This window comes from Homo sapiens, chromosome 7 (genome assembly GCF_000001405.40).
Source record: "Homo sapiens chromosome 7, GRCh38.p14 Primary Assembly".
NCBI classification, from domain to species: Eukaryota; Metazoa; Chordata; class Mammalia; order Primates; family Hominidae; genus Homo; species Homo sapiens.
Genome location: NC_000007.14, coordinates 108596040 through 108614719, shown reverse-complemented (window position 1 = coordinate 108614719; position 18680 = coordinate 108596040). Strand labels below are relative to the sequence as shown.

At 40.7% G+C, this 18680-nt stretch overlaps 1 long non-coding RNA gene across 3 annotated transcripts in view; it reads right to left on the bottom strand.

Annotated features, from left to right (window-relative positions):
- Positions 1-16346, bottom strand: part of LOC105375448 (uncharacterized) — a 40971-nt gene extending 24625 nt beyond the window's left edge. The window contains exons 1-4 of one of the 3 annotated variants that reach the window (NR_187941.1): positions 16295-16346; positions 13142-13287; positions 11452-11584; positions 460-787 (exon numbers count right to left, since the gene is read on the bottom strand). This is a non-coding gene — a long non-coding RNA (uncharacterized LOC105375448). Of the gene's footprint in view, positions 1-459; positions 788-9600; positions 11585-13141; positions 13288-16294 lie in introns of those variants that run through there. The other 2 variants (NR_187939.1, NR_187942.1) reach the window with 2 other exon arrangements.
- Positions 16347-18680: the final 2334 nt, after the last annotated feature.

The window sequence follows — 18680 nt, the reverse complement described above, 5'->3', positions numbered from 1 at the left end:
ACTGCCACCACCACCACACACACACACACACACACACACACCCTATTGATTCTATTTCTCTAGAGAACCCTGACTTATACATATAAATTGAATTATTCAGGCCAAATCCTTCCCTAATCCTAACCCTTATTTTACATCAGCACTAGTATTTCTGGCAAAAATTACTCACTAAAATAGCATGTATACTGAAAGATTAATTAGTCTTCAGTGATTAAGAACTGATCACCCCTGTGCTGGAGACTGCTAGCTCCGTGGAAGAGTAAGGACAAACAGGAACAAAAGGCCCAGGCCCACCTCAAGTGACAGTGCACTTAGAAAGAGACAACATGTACCTATAAAATATCCTGAGAAACCAATGTAACCAAAATGTACGACAACATTCAGCTCAAATTCTAATAAATAAATCCAATTGCAGCGCTATGAAGAAAACAGTTTCTGAGCCACAATCAACAGCCATTCAGTTTCAAATAATATTTAGCCAAGCCAAACTCCAGTATAACAAACAAATAAGGAGCATTCTTTGGACTTTGCTGTGATAGTAGTTGATTGCATAAGCTGGGTGAATACATTGTAAAACAGTGGCTCTCAAAGTGTGTTTCTAGACCAGCAACATTAGCATCGCCTGGGAGCTTGTTAGAAGTACGTATCACAGGCCCTCTCCAGACCTGCAAAATCAGAAACTCTTGGGGTGGGGCCAACATTTTGTGTTTTTACAACTTCTCCATAGGATTCTGCTACACATTACAGAGGCACTGGCTTCAGGTGGAATGAGATCATGAATGTTTTCCTGAAAGAAAAGAATCTTGAGTTAGAGTTGAAATAGAAGACTGGCCTGATTTTCTCTCTTGATAAAAGGCTCTATAAACAAGACCAGAAAGACAGATTAAATATTTACCTTTTCATGTAAGTTTAGACTCTGTCCAAATTGTTAACCACATGCAACTATTTTGCCCAACCTATTTTCTACTGATCTTCAAGCCTCAAAAATATACGTTCCCCAGCCAGACAGCCAGACAGCCAACCATCTTGAGAAAATTCATAATCACTACCAAAACACTTGAGACTTCACATATTACGACTCAAGATGAAATGTGTAGTATTTCCCTTCACTGGCAATTGTTGTTTCTTTTCTTTGTCCATTTTGTAAACCCTGTATTTAGTTTGAAGGTGAAATTTGTAGAAAATTTACAAACTCTAAAGAGGCTAAAATTAATGTGAACATGAGGACACAAAGATTACTAATTTTTAGTAGACTTTTTAAAATTCTTTTTTCTTATTTCTTGCTAGAGTATGGTTTTTCTTAACACAAATAAATATATGACACCTTTTCATGAGGGCCATTTCAAAACACTTTTAGTGTTCTACTCCCACCTTGTGGAGAAAATTAGAATTTCACTCTTTCTGAACTCTAAAGGCTGACAACGAACAGCAAAGGCTTTAATATCCAGTGTGAAGTTTAAATAAAGATTGACAGATTCCACCGATTATTTCATTGATTTTTCTATATCATCCAAATTCAGATATTTTTGAAATATCTGATGGTTCGTAGAGTTTGTTCTCTTTCATTCAGGTGTTGTATAGTACTATCTAGAGGCAGACAAAAACAACCTGTGGAAGTGGCCTGCACATTTTTCTCCAACATTCGATTGTTTACTTTTTTAGGGTGCCTGAAAACAGAAATTAAGTACATAAAGATAATGCAATTATTACTGTTAAATATAGAGTCGCTAATGACTACACAGAAGGATTTGTAGTGGGTTTTTCACCATTCATTTTCTACATACTGTGCTAGTTCACAGAATAAATACCACTATTTTTAAAAAGCCCAGTTTAATCAAAATTTCATTATAAATCTAAAACTTACAGCCCTAGAATTGACTTATCACTGGTGCCAGATTAAGTGTCACCACAGCAATAAATTTTAGTCAGTCATCAGAATGTACTTCGAGTTGAATTGCTAGGGCTATGAATGTAATGTTGCTATGATTTGAATGCATCCCCAAAGTTCATGTGTTGGAAATGTAATCTCCAGTGCAACCACGTTTAGAGGTGAGGCCTTTAAGAGGTGATTAGGTCCTGATGACTCTGCCCTCATGAGTGGACTAATGTCATTATGGCAGGAGTGGGTTTGTTAAACAGTAAGTTTGCCCTACTTTTGCTCTTTCTCACGCTCTCTTGCCCTTCTGCCTTCCACTGTGGGATGACACAAAACAAAGGCACTTGCCAGATGTGAGCCCCTTGACCTTGGACTTCCAAGCCTCTAGAACGGTAAAAACTAAATCTCTATTCTCAAGTATTCTGCTATAGCAGCACAAAACAGACTAAGACAAGTGTCAAGGTCATAAACTTAAAAATATAAAACCCTCCAATGGAAAAAAGTAGGAGAGATGATAATTTCAACAGCTAATTTGGTATTCATCATATGGCAAGCTTCCACTCCCATGTCCTAGGTAGGGTCCATGTGATAATCTCAGGAACATGGATGATTTATAGGAGTCCAGTGATGCCACACCAGGTAGGGGTCTGAATGAGAAATGGGTCTACCTCAATCCAGGCAGAAAATGGAAAAACAACAATGGACTTAAATTTCAAGGAATTCTAGTTTCCTCTATCTTTGAGGTTATTAGGCAATGACATTTATTAAGTCTTTGCTATATTCAGGATGCCAAGCTAATGAGCTACTGAGAAACCATCTTGTCCTCCAAGGCTGAGCTCAAATGCCAGTGTGTCTCTAAAGCCAGACAGAATTAATTTTTTCTACTCTCAATGATACAATGGCATTTTACTTCTACAACTAGGAATGGACTTCACATTATTTTGTAACTGTCGTGTGCCCATAATTTCCATCTTCTCCACTAGGTTCTGTGTTCTTTCAAGACAGGAACCACATCTTAATGATTTAGAATCTCCAACATCCAGCACAGCATCTGGCACATAGAAGATGCTCAGAGAATGTTTGCTAAATGCATTGAATGAATCAGGCTGAATGGTGTGATACAAAGGCATTGAAAGCATAATCATTGCCTTCAGTTAGTTTACTAAACGCTCCTGAGTCAATTTCTGTCGCTTCTTCTTATACCCTAGTGTATATTGGTTTAGCTTTTTGTAGAATTGTAAAAAGCTCAAGAACATGGAAGACATCCTCTGGGTTTAAATGGATCTAAGAGAGGGTTTAAATGCTCTGTTGGCTAAATGCCCTCTGAATCAACTTTTCTATGGCTCCTTCCACAAGCTCCTGCCTGAAGGCACAGAACTTGTTATGCAGCTTGGCCACTTTTCGTGCTTCACATTATTTTCCTCTCTCCACAGTAGCTTGGAAATGCCCCACGGTAAGGTAAATAAGGTAGTACATGGGCGGAATTAGGAAGTGGTCAAGATCCTGTGTTTTGTAAGGATATGAAGTCCCCTGTTATCCAATAATATTTTCCCCCACAATTATGGTAACTAAAAATCCCACCAGAAGGATTAATTTCGTTGTTTTATAAATCATCCTAACCCCTCTCAAAGGAAATTTCTCTTTGAAGGGGCAGCCCATGCAGTTCCTAACACCTTGATATATGTTTATGAGACTACTTCCCATCCACTCTAACAAGAACTGAGAGAGAAAGCACAAGGATTCTGGGCACTTAATAAGGGAAGCTATGCGATGTGGGATGAGAATGAACAGAAATGCTCTGACAGTGAGGCAAGGAAGCCCTGCCAGCCTAAAGCCCTGCACTCCTGGGGATGCTCAGAGACCCATCCAGGTGGCCTTCCTGTACATTCTGCACTTTCTCCTGTGTACCCACAGTTTCTCACTGCTATGCCCACCCCCCTTCAGAGCAGATTCAGAGTTAATTTGAGAAAAGACATTCTTCATACTATATAAACCCTCAGAATCTTCTTTCCCTCTCAAGTAGCGTGTGATAGCCTACATGGTGTGGGCATGTTCTGGTTAAACCAAAATGGCCTGAGCTTAGCCTCCATGCAAAAGTGGCCATTTCCACCAAGAAGGACCAGAAGCCCTTATCATCTAGCCTTGAAGAAGAGTAGCCTCATTGTCCCACGAGAGACAGCCAGCCGAGAGCACACAGACCCAGGGCAGGATGAAGGGGGGGGACTCCCACAGTCATGCTTCCTCCAAAACTCGTGCAGCAGGCATCCAGCAGCTTCCAAAGGATCCTGGAAGGATACTATACCTTGCAAATTAGCTGATGGTAATTCTGTACTTTAAATTCGCTTTGAGCAGAGCATAAATAAAGGCTAACCACTCTCTGTGATAAATGGCATGAATCCTAAAGCAACAGGTAGACATCCTCTTTCAGATAGGGGGTGCCAAAAACAGCCTATGAGGGCCAGGCACAGTGGCTCATGCCTGTAATCACAGCACTTTGAAAGGCTGAATAGGGAGGATTTCTTGAGGCCAAGAGTTTGAGACCAGCCTGGGCAAAATAGCAAGGCCCCCGTCTCTACAAAAAATAAAAAAGTAGCCAGGCAGGGCGACATGCCTGTAATCCCAGCTACTCAGGGACTGAGGTGGTGGGATTGCTTGAGCCTAGGAATTTGAGGCTGCATTGAGTGTGACTGTGCCACTGTACTCCGGCCTGGGTGACAGAGTGAGACCCTTTCTCTAAAAGGAAACAAATTTAATTGAATTTAAAACATCCTAAGACACACTGGAGAGGAGCCACCCTCATCAGATCACCAAATCAGAAACAAGGAGTTAAAATACAGTGGACATTTCTTGCTGTTATTATTGTCATTGTTATCGTTACTGTTTGGCCAACCAAGAATGCTTCCTTCTTCCTAGTGTTATATCAAGTCCTTTTTGGGAGAATTACTTCTCCACCTCTCCATGCAGCCTTAGTCAAACTGTACCTTACCCTAACCAGAGATTTGGCACCAAGTCATGGAATGAAATTCTCTCTCCCTGGACTTTGAACATAGAGAGAAGTGATACAAGGATAGTTTTTTAAAAATTAAGTTTAGGGCACCTTCATTGCAGGAGCAGAGCCTATAAAAGATGGTCAGATAATCTCCACTGCCTAGAGATCTGCCGAACTATTCTGGTTTCTGTTATTGTTCTGTGATAGCATGGAAGCCAACATATTTCTAAGCTTATACATTCTATGGTGAATACCTCCAATAAATTTTCTTTTTGCTAGCATTAACAAGAATTAGCTTAGGCTACCTATAACTAAAGAATCCTGGTTAATATACTTTATAGCCTTTAGAGATTATGGCGGATCAACAGATGATATATAGTTAGATAGATAGATAGACACACATACAAACGCATGCATACACATACATATATATGATTAAATAATAAGTCTAGACATTACTATATTTGAATACTTATACCAGCTATCTTAGCTGGTTAATTGAAGATGCCCATGGTAGGCAAAACCAGGTAAGCCAGACACAATTCTTAGCACAAGTTATTTCTGTCTGGATATGCCATGTGCTACATTTTAATTTTATCAGCTTACTTCCAGCCTCTCATTGTGAATGATCCCTTAGTGAGCCAGGAGAAGTAAAGCAAAGATAAAATGTTGAACACAACTCTCTTGACCTCATCACATGGGCCTATTGAACTGAGAATTCTATTCCAATCTCTTGAAAGGGAGAAAGAGGTTAAACTTTAGATGAAGGAAAGGAATCAATAGACACCAAAACTTTAGTCCATCTCATCTCCAACTCTCCCACTCCCAAAGAAGGTAATTCTTGTGGTTGAGATGTTCCACCCTCAAGGTACATGTGGCTGGCAGCAGGTTCACATTAAAGGGATTTTTTTTGGACTGTCCCTGGGCTGAGTCACCACTAAGGCTCCCATGCAAGAGTTGAAGAGGCCAGTCAGCTTCTCCGAATGGCAGAAACAGCAGTGCCAGGTTAAGACTCAAGCTCAGTTTTCTGGTCCATCTTCTTCAAATTACCTTCTGCACCCAAAAAAGCAGAGTTCATTTTTATTGGCTTATTTAACCATAAGCTTCACTCAAAAAAATTGGAGTTTAATAATTATGAGGTTAATACTTCATTTTGCTTAAGAGAATGAAGTTTATTAATCAATAAAAACATTTTTTTAGCCACACTTTGCTGGCTTGCACATTTTGATACCTTTTTTTTAATCACTGCATTTGCAGTTTAAAACAGGCTAACACTTACTCCTTTTTCATATCTACAAATGAGATCAACACAAACATGGTTTGCTCCAATGAAGATTTAAGGCACCTCTAAAAACATCCAAACAATAGAACAAGGTAAATGTATTTGTTTGCTAGGGCTACCTGTTAGTCTGCTAGGGCCAACACAAAATACCACAGTCTAGGTGGATTAAATAACAGAAATTTATCTTCACACAGTTCTGGAGGCTGAAAGTCCAAGGTCAAAGTGCCATTGGGACTGTTTTCTAGTGAGGACTCTCTTCCTAGCTTGTAGACGGCTGCCTTCCTACTGTGTCCTCACTTGGCTTCTTCTCTACATGGAAAGAGGGAGCTCTCTTGGTGTTTCTTCCTTTTCTTATTATGTCACCAGTCCTATCAGATTAGGGACCCACCTGTCTTAATTACCTCCCTAAAGTCCCTATCCCCAAATACAGTCTACACTGGAGGTTAGGGTTTCAATATATGAATTTTGGGGGAACATAATTTAGTCCATAACAGACTGCCATAATAACATACCATAGACTGAGAGGCTCAAACAAGACAAATTTATTTTCTCACAATTTCAGAGGCTGTAAGTCCAAGACAAAGGTGCCTTTGGGGTTGATTTCCAGTGAGGCCTCTCTTTCTGCCTTATAGATGGCTGCCTTCTCCCTGTGTCCTCACATGGTCTTTTTTCTGTGTATCTGTTTCCTAATCTCTCCTTATAAGACACCACCAGTCATATTGGATTAGAGCCTGCCCTAATGACCTCACTTTAACTTCACTACCTCTTTAAAGATCCTATGTCCAAATACAGTCACATTCTGAAATACCAGGGGTTATGACTTTGACATATGAATCTTAAAGGGATACAATTCAGCATACACCAGTAAAACGGTAAGTCAAGAAATTGGGCAAATGGACTGGGGGCGGTGGCTCACGTCTATAATCCCAACACCTGGGGAGGCCGAGGGAGGCAGATCACCTGAGATCAGGAGTTCAAGACTAGCCTGGCCAACATGGTGAAACCCCGTCTATGCTAAAAATACAAAAATTAGCCGGGCATGGTAGCAGGTGCGTGTAATCCCAGCTACCCAGGAGGCTGAGGCAGGAGAATCACTGGAACCTGGGAGGCAGAAGCTGCAGTGAGCCAAGATCACGCCAATGCACTCCAACCTGGTTGACAGAGTAAGGCTCCATCTCAAAAAAAAAGAAAAGAAAAGAAAGAAACTGGGCAAATGGTAAGGATAGGAGAGATGTTAAGACAATAAAGGGTGATGATATATTTACTAGGACTGGGTCACAACTCTGGCTCAGAGGCTCATAGCTGCCAATGCACAGAGGGAAATTTGATCAGTCACAAGACTCACCCTACGTTGAGTTTGGATTTAAACAATGGTCTTCCAGAGGCAGTATGCTTTTGTTGTCTAAAAAAAGTAGTAACTCTACTTCTAAGAGACTTTGGCCAGAGAGGAAAAAAGAAGAGCACAATGGCAGCCCAGTGAGAAATGTATTCTGATGTAATCATAATCTTATGTATTCCTTAAAAGCACAGTAATTGGGGCAACCATCTATGCCTCAAGATTCTGGGGAGACAAATAGTGTCCCCAAAGAAATGAATGTTTTGTAAGTAACATGTAGCATAGTTATATATGTTTACACGGAGAATTTTCCAAAATTATCCACTGTGGTCACTTTAAACACTCTCCTAAAATTAACTGCAGTTCTAATTTCTCAATCAAATCACAAAAGTCATAAGGAATTCTTAGGTCTATATAGGCTCCTCATAGTCTTCAGCATGTCTGTGTCTCTCCACGACCACTCCAGCTCAATGCGCCAAAGATGATGCATGTCCAGGTGCTGGAGCACAAAATATAACATAAGACCCCATGTCCCCATGTCCTGCAGGCCACACAGATTACCTTTAAGGGGGAACTGGATATTTGGAAGCGAGTAGACAGGAAGATATAGTCCCAGATAAATGGTAGAGGCTGGGGATATCTCATTGGCCCTTCTAGTCTCATTCACAGATCAAGTCTATCCTCCAAACTAAAGGGAATTATCTAGTTAGATTTTTTCTGCCACAGACAGAGAGTCTAGTGTAGTGCTAAAGGTGCATGAGCTCTGGAGATCCTCTGCCTGGGTTTGAATCCCTGAATCACCATTTATTCAATGTGTGACCTTGGGAAGGTCGTTAAGCTCTCTGTAACTTGGATTCTTCATCTGCTGAAAGTGGGGGGACAATTGCACCTATTGAGGGGGCCTGTTCTGAGGATTTATTTACTTAAATATGTAAAGTGTTCACAAAAGTGCCCAGCACATAGTAAACGTGATTGTTATTAAATAGTTCTTTACAATCTGAAAATTACACTTTAGGATAAACAAGTTTCTATAAAATCATTTGACTAGAAATGATAGTTGGAGTTAGAACAGTTTCAGCTACATTTTGCATATTCACAAACCTCAAAATGCATTGTATATTGTGGGCATGGTTCATTTATTCAGATATGTAACGAGGATCTCATTGCATTTGTAAAGAGACATGAAATCCTTTATCAAGGTTTCATAATGAGACACCTCTGCGTTTAAAACCACAGAAGGGACTTCTCACCTTTCTGAGCTGTTGTAATCCCTTGCAACTCAAATTTTTTCTGTCTGCTTTTACTCCAGGTCCAGGCTTGACACATGTTTTTCTCCATCTGAGTATCTTTATTTAAGATTACTTTCCCCAGATGTGTTTGTGTTCCCTTTTCTCAGCTGAATATGGTTAATCTTTTTTTTTTTTTTCTCAAATATCTGAGCTCCATTAAGCCTTTGTAAACTATCTTGGTCTGTGGTGTCGTCATCACCATCCTTCGGAGCTATACGGTAAGCCCTGCTGACACATCTTCTCCTGCCAAATCATTCAAGATCATTTCAATATTTACTCCCAAGGCTTTTCTGAGTCCTTTTCTTGCATCCCATATGTGTTTCACTAGAAAATGTCACTGGCCGACTGGTTCTATTCTTTTTTTCATTCTCGTTCATTCTCTCACTTATTCTGCCCCTTTTCTTGGTTCCTTTAAGAATTAAGAGAAACTTTGTTACTGAGAGTCCCCAGCTAAACTGGGGTTCCAGCACAAGGGCAGCTAGCAATCCTGCCCTAATGGGAAATGTAGGGAAGCTCTATGTGGATGTTTGCAGTGGGCCTTTCAGGGGATGCTTCTTTTACTTGGCTGATGGCCTAGTGCCTAGTAGTCTGATCAGTGACCAAAAGTGGGTAGAGAGATGGTCCCTCACATGGGAAACTTGTTTAAGCCAGCAGATGCCCTATGGCTTTTGTCTGACCTGCATCCAGCTTATACCTGCCCAACCATTGCCCTGGCACTGGGAGCCCAACCTTGAGCTCTCCCTGGCTTCCTGGAAGAAACCCAGCCTGGGGCAGCCCCTGGTTCTTCAGATGGAAGGTGCAAATCCAACATACCACCACCATAGGAAACAAGTTCCAAGATTTTTATTTACAGAGACTGAGTAGGGAGGGCACAATGAGTCAAGAACAGTCTTCATCCCTGGGTCACATCAGGCAAGAACAAAGAGTCAGGCAGAGAGAGACAGAGAGGGCAGCCAGCAGTATATATATACGAATAGGGTATGGGGCACTTTCAGTTCACAGGCAAATGCCTGACTGGTTCATTTAAAGGAACCAATGAGAAAGCAGGGAGCCCTGGTATGCAGAAGAGATGCCTCTAGGTTCTTATCTCTGGCCACGTCTGGGCCCATTTGGGTGTGGTGTAGAACCAGAAACTGTGTCAAGGGTGATCGAGCTCCGCTTCTGGTATAACAAACTTAAATTTGTATTCAAAATGGATGCCAAGACAACATAAAATTATAAGAATTCACTGCAATTACCCAAATCGGCTCTGTTCTTCCAAGATGGCTTTTCTCTTAGTGTACTCAGTATAAATGCATAATTACTATAGAACATATTCAAATGGAATAATTTGTTTTTTAAATTACAGCCATAGGCTCATCTGGTTTTGCATTCTTTCTCTTTTCCTTACTATCTAAGGTAATCAGATTTACTCTGCCGCGTATATTGACTCCCTGTTGTTCTTGTGAGATGTGTGACATCTGTTATTTTACGGTACTTAACTCATGTGCACTGACAGCCAGATACCTACTGGAAATAACAATTAAAGGCATAAATAACACACATCTGCATGTGTTCTGGCACTCGCCCACATATTAACACTGCTTACCACCTTACAGATTTACTTCTCTTCGGCAGCGTGATAAGCATTTGGTTTTAAAGAGTTTAGCTTTCCTTTCTGTGGAGATTTTGGCATATATTTTATATAATTGTCTATTTTTGTGAGTTGGGCATGTGTGGTTGTGTGTATACCCATGCGAGCGTGCACTTCAATAACTGAACATTCAGGAAAGGGATGCTATTCTCTTATTGCAGCACCTGCCTGCCTACCTGAATAGTTTTTACAACATCAAGCATGACTCATTGGTAATCCCTGCTGATATAAAATTCATAGGCCCGTGTGCTTCCTTCTGAAGGCAGCAATTTGCATTTCTGAAGAGCTTTGAAAGAATAAGAGAAAGTTATTAACTGTTATTATTTGCTGACCACCCACAGCACTCACAGTGGGGTACGACAGACAAGAAGGGGGAAGGTCAGCTCTTTAATATGTACGTGTAACTAGCTCAGAGTCGCTGGAAGCATCTTGGTGGCACTTTAATTAGCAGCTTCCAGGGTCAGAGGACTCTAGAAAGCTTCGCAACAACTACTCTGAGCCCATGGAAACTGTCACTTCACAGAATCGTGAGACATGAGGGCTGGCAGAGAACAGCTGTGAATCCCTCTGCTTCTCTGTGAAACAGGATGGTTAGCTCTACCTCACCCCTACTTTGTAGAGCTTGGGAATGGGACTCTCCATGAATACTGTTGGCATCTGCTGGGCATCACACATAAGTATTAAATGCTTATTTCCAGCCAGGTACAGTGGCTCACACCTGTAATCCCAGCACTTTGGGATGCCAAGGCGGGTGAATCATCTGAGGTCAGGAGTTCGAGACCAGCCTGGCCAGCATGGTGAAACTCCATCTCTACTGAAAATACAAAAATTAGCCAGTCATAGCGGTGCATGCCCGCAGTCCCAGCTACTTGGGAGGCTAAGGCAGGAAAATCGCTTGAATCTGGGAGGTAGAGGTTGCAGTGAGCTGAGATCACACCACTGCACTCCAGCCTGAGCAACAGAGCGAGACTCTGCCTAAAAAAAGAAAAAAAAATGCTTATTTCCTCTCAAGAAAATAGAAGTGAGGGAGGAAAGGATGAACTCACTGATTGAAGAGATGGTGCTGCAGTGGATGGCATTATAATGGCAGGGAGAGAATGGAGCCGGAACAGAAGCCTGAGCAAGAAGCTCCTGTGGTAGTGAAGTCAGACTGGAATCGAAAGCCAGCACTTGATAGAACTAGGAAGAGAACAAAAAGATGTTTTTCCTTTGTTTTGTTTTGTTTTGTTATTTTAAAAAAGCATAGCTTCTAACATGTATTTAGAACATCCTAATTTTTTTTCTAAAAACCTTTCAAATATTTCTAAATGGCAAAGCACGAGGTCACAGAGTTTTCTGTTGATTTTTTGGAGGATAATAGATGAAGGAGCAGGTTGAAACAGTTTATAAAAAACTACTCTTTCCAAACAATACCCAAGATTCTAGCATTAGAGATAAGAGTAAAACCTTCCATTCTAAGATACATCACAACATGATCATGTTAAAACAAAAAATCTAGGCCAGCCATGGTGGTTCACACCCCAGCACTGTGGGAAGCTGTGATGGAAGGATTACTGAGTGCACAAGTTGGAGACCGGCCTGGGCAACATCGTAAGACCTCGTCTCTACAAAAAGTAAACAAAATTAACCTGGGCATAGTGGGGTGCACCTGTACTCAGGAGGCTGAAGTGGGAAAACCATTTGTGCCCTAGAAGTCAAAGCTGCAGTGAGCTGAGATCCCACCAGTGCACTCCAGCTGTGTGACACAGTGAAACCCTGTCTAAATAAATAAATAAATAAACATCTAGATATCTACGTGTCCAATGACAGGGAAATGTTTAGTGATATCTAGATGATGGAATTATTAGACAACCATAGAATTATGCTTTCAAGTCATTTTAATGAACTAGGGAAATGCTTACTATATAATGTTAAGTAAAAGAATCATGATAGAAAACTGTACCTGCAGTTTGATTTTATTTATAAGATATCTACGCACATACACTCATACTGGAAGGAAACACATCAAATTGTCAGTAACATATCTCCCAATGGGGAAGTTATGGATGATTTTAATTTTCTTCTTAAAGAAAAATTATTTTTCTAATCTTTCCATGATGAATGCATTGTACTATGAAAATCAGAAAATACAAAAAAATTTTAAATTCCGGGCCAGGCACTGTGGCTCACGCCTGTAATCCCAACACTTTGGGAGGCCAAGTCAGGCAGATCACTGGAGGTCAGGAGTTTGAGATCAGCCTGGCCAACATGGTGAAACGCTGTCTGTACTAAAACTACAAAAATTAGCTGGGTGTGGTTATTGTGCCTGTAATCCCAGCTACTCGGGAGGCTGAGGCAGGGGAATCACCTAAACCCAGGAGGTGGAGGTTGCAGTGAACCGAGTTTGTGCCACTGCACTCCAGCCTGGGCAACCGAGTAAGACGCCATCTCAAAAAAAAAAAAAAAAATTAAATGCCTGGCCAACTGTGAAGAGATGATTCAACCCATCAGCAGAACAAACATTCACTTGGATGATAGAAATTTGAAATTTTATAAAAGTCCATCTTACCCAAAAATCACTTCCACCAGTATCCTGCAGGTACCCAAAATTCCCAGAATTAGAGATTTACCCCACAACAGATTTTGAGCAGACCGTATATATTGTATAATCCCATTTTTGTTGTTTTTTAAAGGAGTATATATTTTCATGTCTGTTTATTATTTATTCATCTTACTATACATATGTTTGAAACTGACCCAAATCAATTTGTGCACAATCCTCAGATTGTTCTTGATAGACAGCTGTTGCTTCTAACAATTAGAAGTGGGGAATAGTTATGATATCTTCTCCTACAGCTCCTCACGAGGCAGTGCAATGAAAGCAGGTCTCAGATGGACTTTTGCTGAGGGAACAAAAATTTTATTAGCAGGCAGGCACAAACATAGTCACCATCTCCCCTTGTAAGACCAAGTGCCAGTTCTCTGTTCCTTTAGACACTCCAACTGACCTTGTATTAAAGGTTTATCAGAGGCAGATGTGACAATAGTCTACCTACAGTACTCAGTAAACCTAGTTGGAAGTAAATGATAAAATTCTCCCTTTTAAATGCACAGAGGACAGAATGGACTCTTAGACCTAACATGCCATGCAAAGTGTATAGAATTGGACTTAACTAGACTCTTGTTCCCTATTCACCAAGGACAGGAGTACCTATATAATATTTCTAGCCAATTCACACATCTTAATCTCTAGTAATTTTACTAAGGAAAAAATATCTCTAATATCCATTATACTAAATAAATTTTAAAAATAACTGGAAAGCTTGCAGTGTGTTCTAGGTTCTTCTAGAGTGTGGCCTTCTAATTAGTTTTTTATTGGTAACTAATCATCTCTGGAGTATTTGCCTTGACTAGGGCATGTCAAAGGTTAACTAATCAGCCCTAAGGTATTGATTAAAGCTGAAATACAGATACTTAAGTATTTTAGAATAAATTATAGACCATATAATGATATGCATTTTTCAAAGTCTGAGAGAATAACTAGCTAATTATTATTAGTGATTATCTCTGAAAGAATGGGATTAAGAAGACAGAACATTTTTCTTGGCACTCTTTGGTGTTATTTGAAGAAAAAAAGCAAATATTACCTTTGTGATATAAACATACTAATAAAAGTTGTTAAAGGCTAAGATCAATAATAAATGGAGATTTATTTGTTTGAATTAAAGGTTTACCTCTGCCCACCTTCAGAAGTACACAGCAGTGTTCCAGGTGTGTTGAAAAAGCACAGGATGAATAAGGCATGTCTTTCTACAACGTGAATTTTGCTAGAAATTTTAGAAGGGTGAGGCCAAGTAATTTAAAGGGTAGGCAATTTAAAACAGATTTTAAGAACTTTCCCTCAAGACTTCCTTCTCCCAAGGCTTCTTTCCCCCAGACTTACTCTCTTACCTCCTGATATGGCTGTGTCAGATGTTGGCTGTGTCCCCACCCAAAATCTCATCTTGAATTATAATACCCATAATCCTCACATGTCAAGGACAGGACCAGGTGGAGGTAATTGGATCATGGCGGCAGTTTCCCCTTTGCTGTTCTTGTGATATTAAGTGAGTCTCACGAGACCTGATGGTTTTATAAGCTTCTGGCATTTCCCCTGCTTGCACCCATTCTCTCTCCTGCCACCCTGTGAAGAGGTGCCTTCCGCCGTTATTGTAAGTTTCCTAAGACCTCCCAAGCCATGCAGAACTGTGAGTCAATTAAATCTCTTTTCTTTATAAATCACCCAGTCTCGGGTATTTCTTTATAAGCAGCATGAGAACTGACTAATACACCTTCCATCCTACCTCTCTGAGCCCCGTTAGAGATACTCATTCACTTTTTTCTATCATTAGAGGATTGCAGTGGGAATGTTTGAAGAACAATGCTCGATTTTATTATTTTCTATTAATACTTGTGAATTAGCAGACTCTCAGAAATCATTATCAATCATTTACCTACAAAGGCCAGAGAATAACTGAAAAAGATGAGTAACTGGTGGCAGTTGGTGGTTGGGGGAGTTGAGAAGGAAATGCATGAAGGAGAGGAAGAATGAATAGCCTGAAATTCAGGTAAACTGAGGAGGGGTACCCTGAACCCTGGGAACAGCCAAGCCATTAGCCCTCTGGGGACTGGAGCTCTGAAAAGGTGCGTGGAAGGAATGAAGCAGAGAAGGAGGAAGTGGAGCCAAGAGGTCAGGGAGCATTAACACCAATTAATTTTCCTTCCCAATCTTATCCCTTCCCAGCAAAAATATAGACATATGTTTAGCGGCAGTTGGGGCCATGTCAGTTATAAGATTTGCTGCCAATGATACACATCTGTCAGCTTATTTGCATCAAGCAAAAGAGCTGAAGCTACAATTTGTGTTTATGATAAATGAAGATTTGGAAGACATTTGCTTTCCCCCGTCTTTTGCTTACTTAAGCATCATGCAGATACAAAAGACACTGCCAGAATTTGCTTAGACAACACTGAACATGGGGGTAGGAGTGAGAAGGAAGGGAGAAAATCACTATGAAATATTGCCACTTTCACTGCAATTCTGGACCCATCATTTTAAATTGTGAAATGCCTGCTGCTGAATGCGAGAAGCAGGAGCCTTTCCTGATTTGAAGGCATTGGCAGGAGGCTTCATTTGTCAGGGAAGGAAAAATGCATAATTCAAAGCGAAAGTCACCTGGCCCCGATAACCTGAAACAAATGAAGCAAAACTTCATTCTTTGGTTCAACGCCAAGGAACCAATCCTGTACCTGCAGATAGGGCAAGTTTTTCCCCCATTTCTTACTCCCTGTTAGGTGCTCTAAGCACCTAATGAAGGAAGAGGGATGAGAGTTGACACCAGAACATCATCAGCATAACTGCTTTTGTGTATTTGACTCCAGTGGTCTTAGGGTTTCCATCTGTTTCACTCATTCTTGCCCTCTCTCCCTCTTCCTCTGCACACAGGCAGATTTAATTCTGTGTCCCTGTGTCTGAATGATTATAAGCCACTCCAGAATGTTTGCTTCCTTCTCTGATATTCTTCTCTTTCCCCTGCCTTTTCTTTGCTTCATCACAATTTCTGTCCCAACACCCCGCACCCCCTGCCGCCACAAATCCAAAGTTTAATTCAGGTAGCGAGCACATGACAATGAGTTACCATTCATCCATCCCCCATCTTTTTTACAAATATTTATTTACAGCCTCTTATGGATGAGATGCTTGAGAAGGGAGAAAAAGCACTCCCTGCCCCCACCCCTACTTTTGCAATCTATATTCCTAAGAGATTCTGAAAACTCTGCCCCTAAAGTGACTATAAGCTGTTCACAGTTGTTATCTGTATAGATTTATAAAGAGAGGGTATTACATAAAAATTACAAATCTATTCTTACAATGCTCAGTGATCCCTGGCTGAATGCGACTCTCCTTCTTCAGCAGCTAAGTAAAATGAGCCAGCCGAGCAAACAGAATCTGGTGCCCATGGCAACATGCATTACTGCTTTGAACTTGTCAATCTGTCACTAGGAAATCACATTAATGGGATGTTTTTCTCTACAAATAGCTTTTGTTTTCACATTTTAATTACAGGGCTAGATTTTTCTTGATTTCTAAATTCTTCAAAGACCTATGCAAAAAGGAAAATAAAAAGTAAAGTTGTATCAAAAAATGTCCTTGAAATTCCAAGCAGCCTTTTAGTTGGGAGAAGAAGGGGTAAAAGGGAGAGACCATGTATATTTGTCCCCATACTTCCTGCGACATGACCAAAAAGCCAAAGGCTTAAGCAGGTACTTTACCATTTTGCTTCTTTTGGATAGTTTCCTCATCTGAACAACAACAACAAAAAAAGACATCTTCCCCACAAGAGTGTTATGAGGTTTAATTAAGGATAACTGCTAAGGATTATCAATTAATATTGCTAGTTAGTGCTGGCTAGGGGAGCCTCCCTTTCCCCTTAGGCCCTGAGCTACTTTATTCAGTCATTATAGGCCAGAAAAATGTTCATTTTTTACATGTTTAATTGCTTAAGGGTAGTCCATGGTTGTAGAAGTTTATGAACACATTTTCTGAACAAATTAGTAAGTTCATTAAAAGAGCTAAATTAGAATTAATTTCCACTACTGAGAAAGCTGGGGAAACAGGAGGTGGCAACTATGTACTGCTGTGTTTTCCAAGGGAAACTCCAAGGAAGAAAGAGTTGGACAAGATAGAAAGAAACTATGAACATTTCTTTTAAGTTGCAAATCTTAGTACTCTTCCTTCTGACTTCAAAACTAGCTATACGTTAAAAATGCGGGGAGGAACCATTCTGATTAAAAAAAAGACAGTTGGTAAACTGAGTTGTGAAAGTCTATCTCTGTAATTCTTTCTAAATCTTATCATTCTGATTTCTGAAAAGTGTGGAAAGAATAAATCTATGCAAAATGTTTTAAATTCACTCCCAGGCCCTGGATTTACTCACTTTGCCCACCAGCAGGTGTTTGAGATATAGATATACAAAGAACTGTACATGTGTGTACAGCTGAATGAGTGCAGTTTGATGAGTTCGGACATCTGCACTCACCCATGATACCAGGACTGCAGTAAAGGTAGTAGACAGACCCAGTACCTCCCGGAGATTTTCCTTAGGACATTGTTGCCAGAGTAAATCAGACCAGCCTCAGCTACTTCCTAACAGTCAATGCCTCCTGAATAGTGCCTCCCAGTAGAACAAAACATCTACAGGGTTCAGAATTCATCGTTAGACGAACTGGACCCATGGGTCCAGTTTGGTCATGTCGTGGGAAATATGGGGACAAACATACATGGTCTCTCCTTTCTACCCCACCTCTCCCAACTAACAGGCTGCTTGGAATTTCAAGGACATCTTTTGAAACAACATTACTTTTCATTTTCCTTTTTGCCCAGGTCTTCGAATAATTTAGAAATCAAGAAAAATCTAGCCCTGTAATTAAAATGTGAAAACAAAAGCTATTTGTAGCAGAAAAACATCCCATTAATGTGATTTCCTTATGACAGATTGACAAGTTCAAAGGGCGCAAGCAGAGGGCAGCCATTCCTGCTCCCCTCAGTGACTCGCGCTGGCTCTCACAGCTTGCTCTTCTGTGTCCTTGAAGGAAACCCTAAGCAGGTCCTGTATATTTTCAGGTCAGTCTCAGGTAATTTAAAGCCCTCTGAGCATTTTAGGCAATAAAATATCTGACCAAATTTACTACTAACACTTTAGTCTTTTATCCAGTTTTACTCTCTTCTTCCTTCCTCAGGCCAAAAATCCTGCAGTGGAGAAGTGCAGAACATCCCACTTCTTTCTCATCCTTGCTATACTTAGTATGACACTCTGGGACCTCTGGATGGAGCCACAGTGAGAGAAGAAGGAGGAGCGAGAAGGTCCCAAAAGGTTTTACACCTGGGTACAGTTGTAATCTTGCTTTGGGGCCCACTGGGCTGAGAAAATGGCCCAAGAGAACTCTTGTGTAGGACTTCAGTAGTATCTTTAGAGACCACTCCCCATGACTCAAAGGATCTCTTCTCTGTAGTTCCTTTGATGCTGGGGGACTCCTCCAGCAGGTGCTGTTGGACTTCCTGCTCAGCCCCCTAGTTCCCAGTATTCTCCTCTTATGTTGGGGTCACTTTGACCTGGAAAGCATTCCTCTAGGATGAAGACCCTCTCAAGGCAACCCAGTCCAGTTGCCTTCCACAGTATCCATACCTAGCCAAATACTGATTCACCCCTGCTCCCCAAACCCTGGAAGAAGAGGCCATCCCCAGCACAGTCCTGTC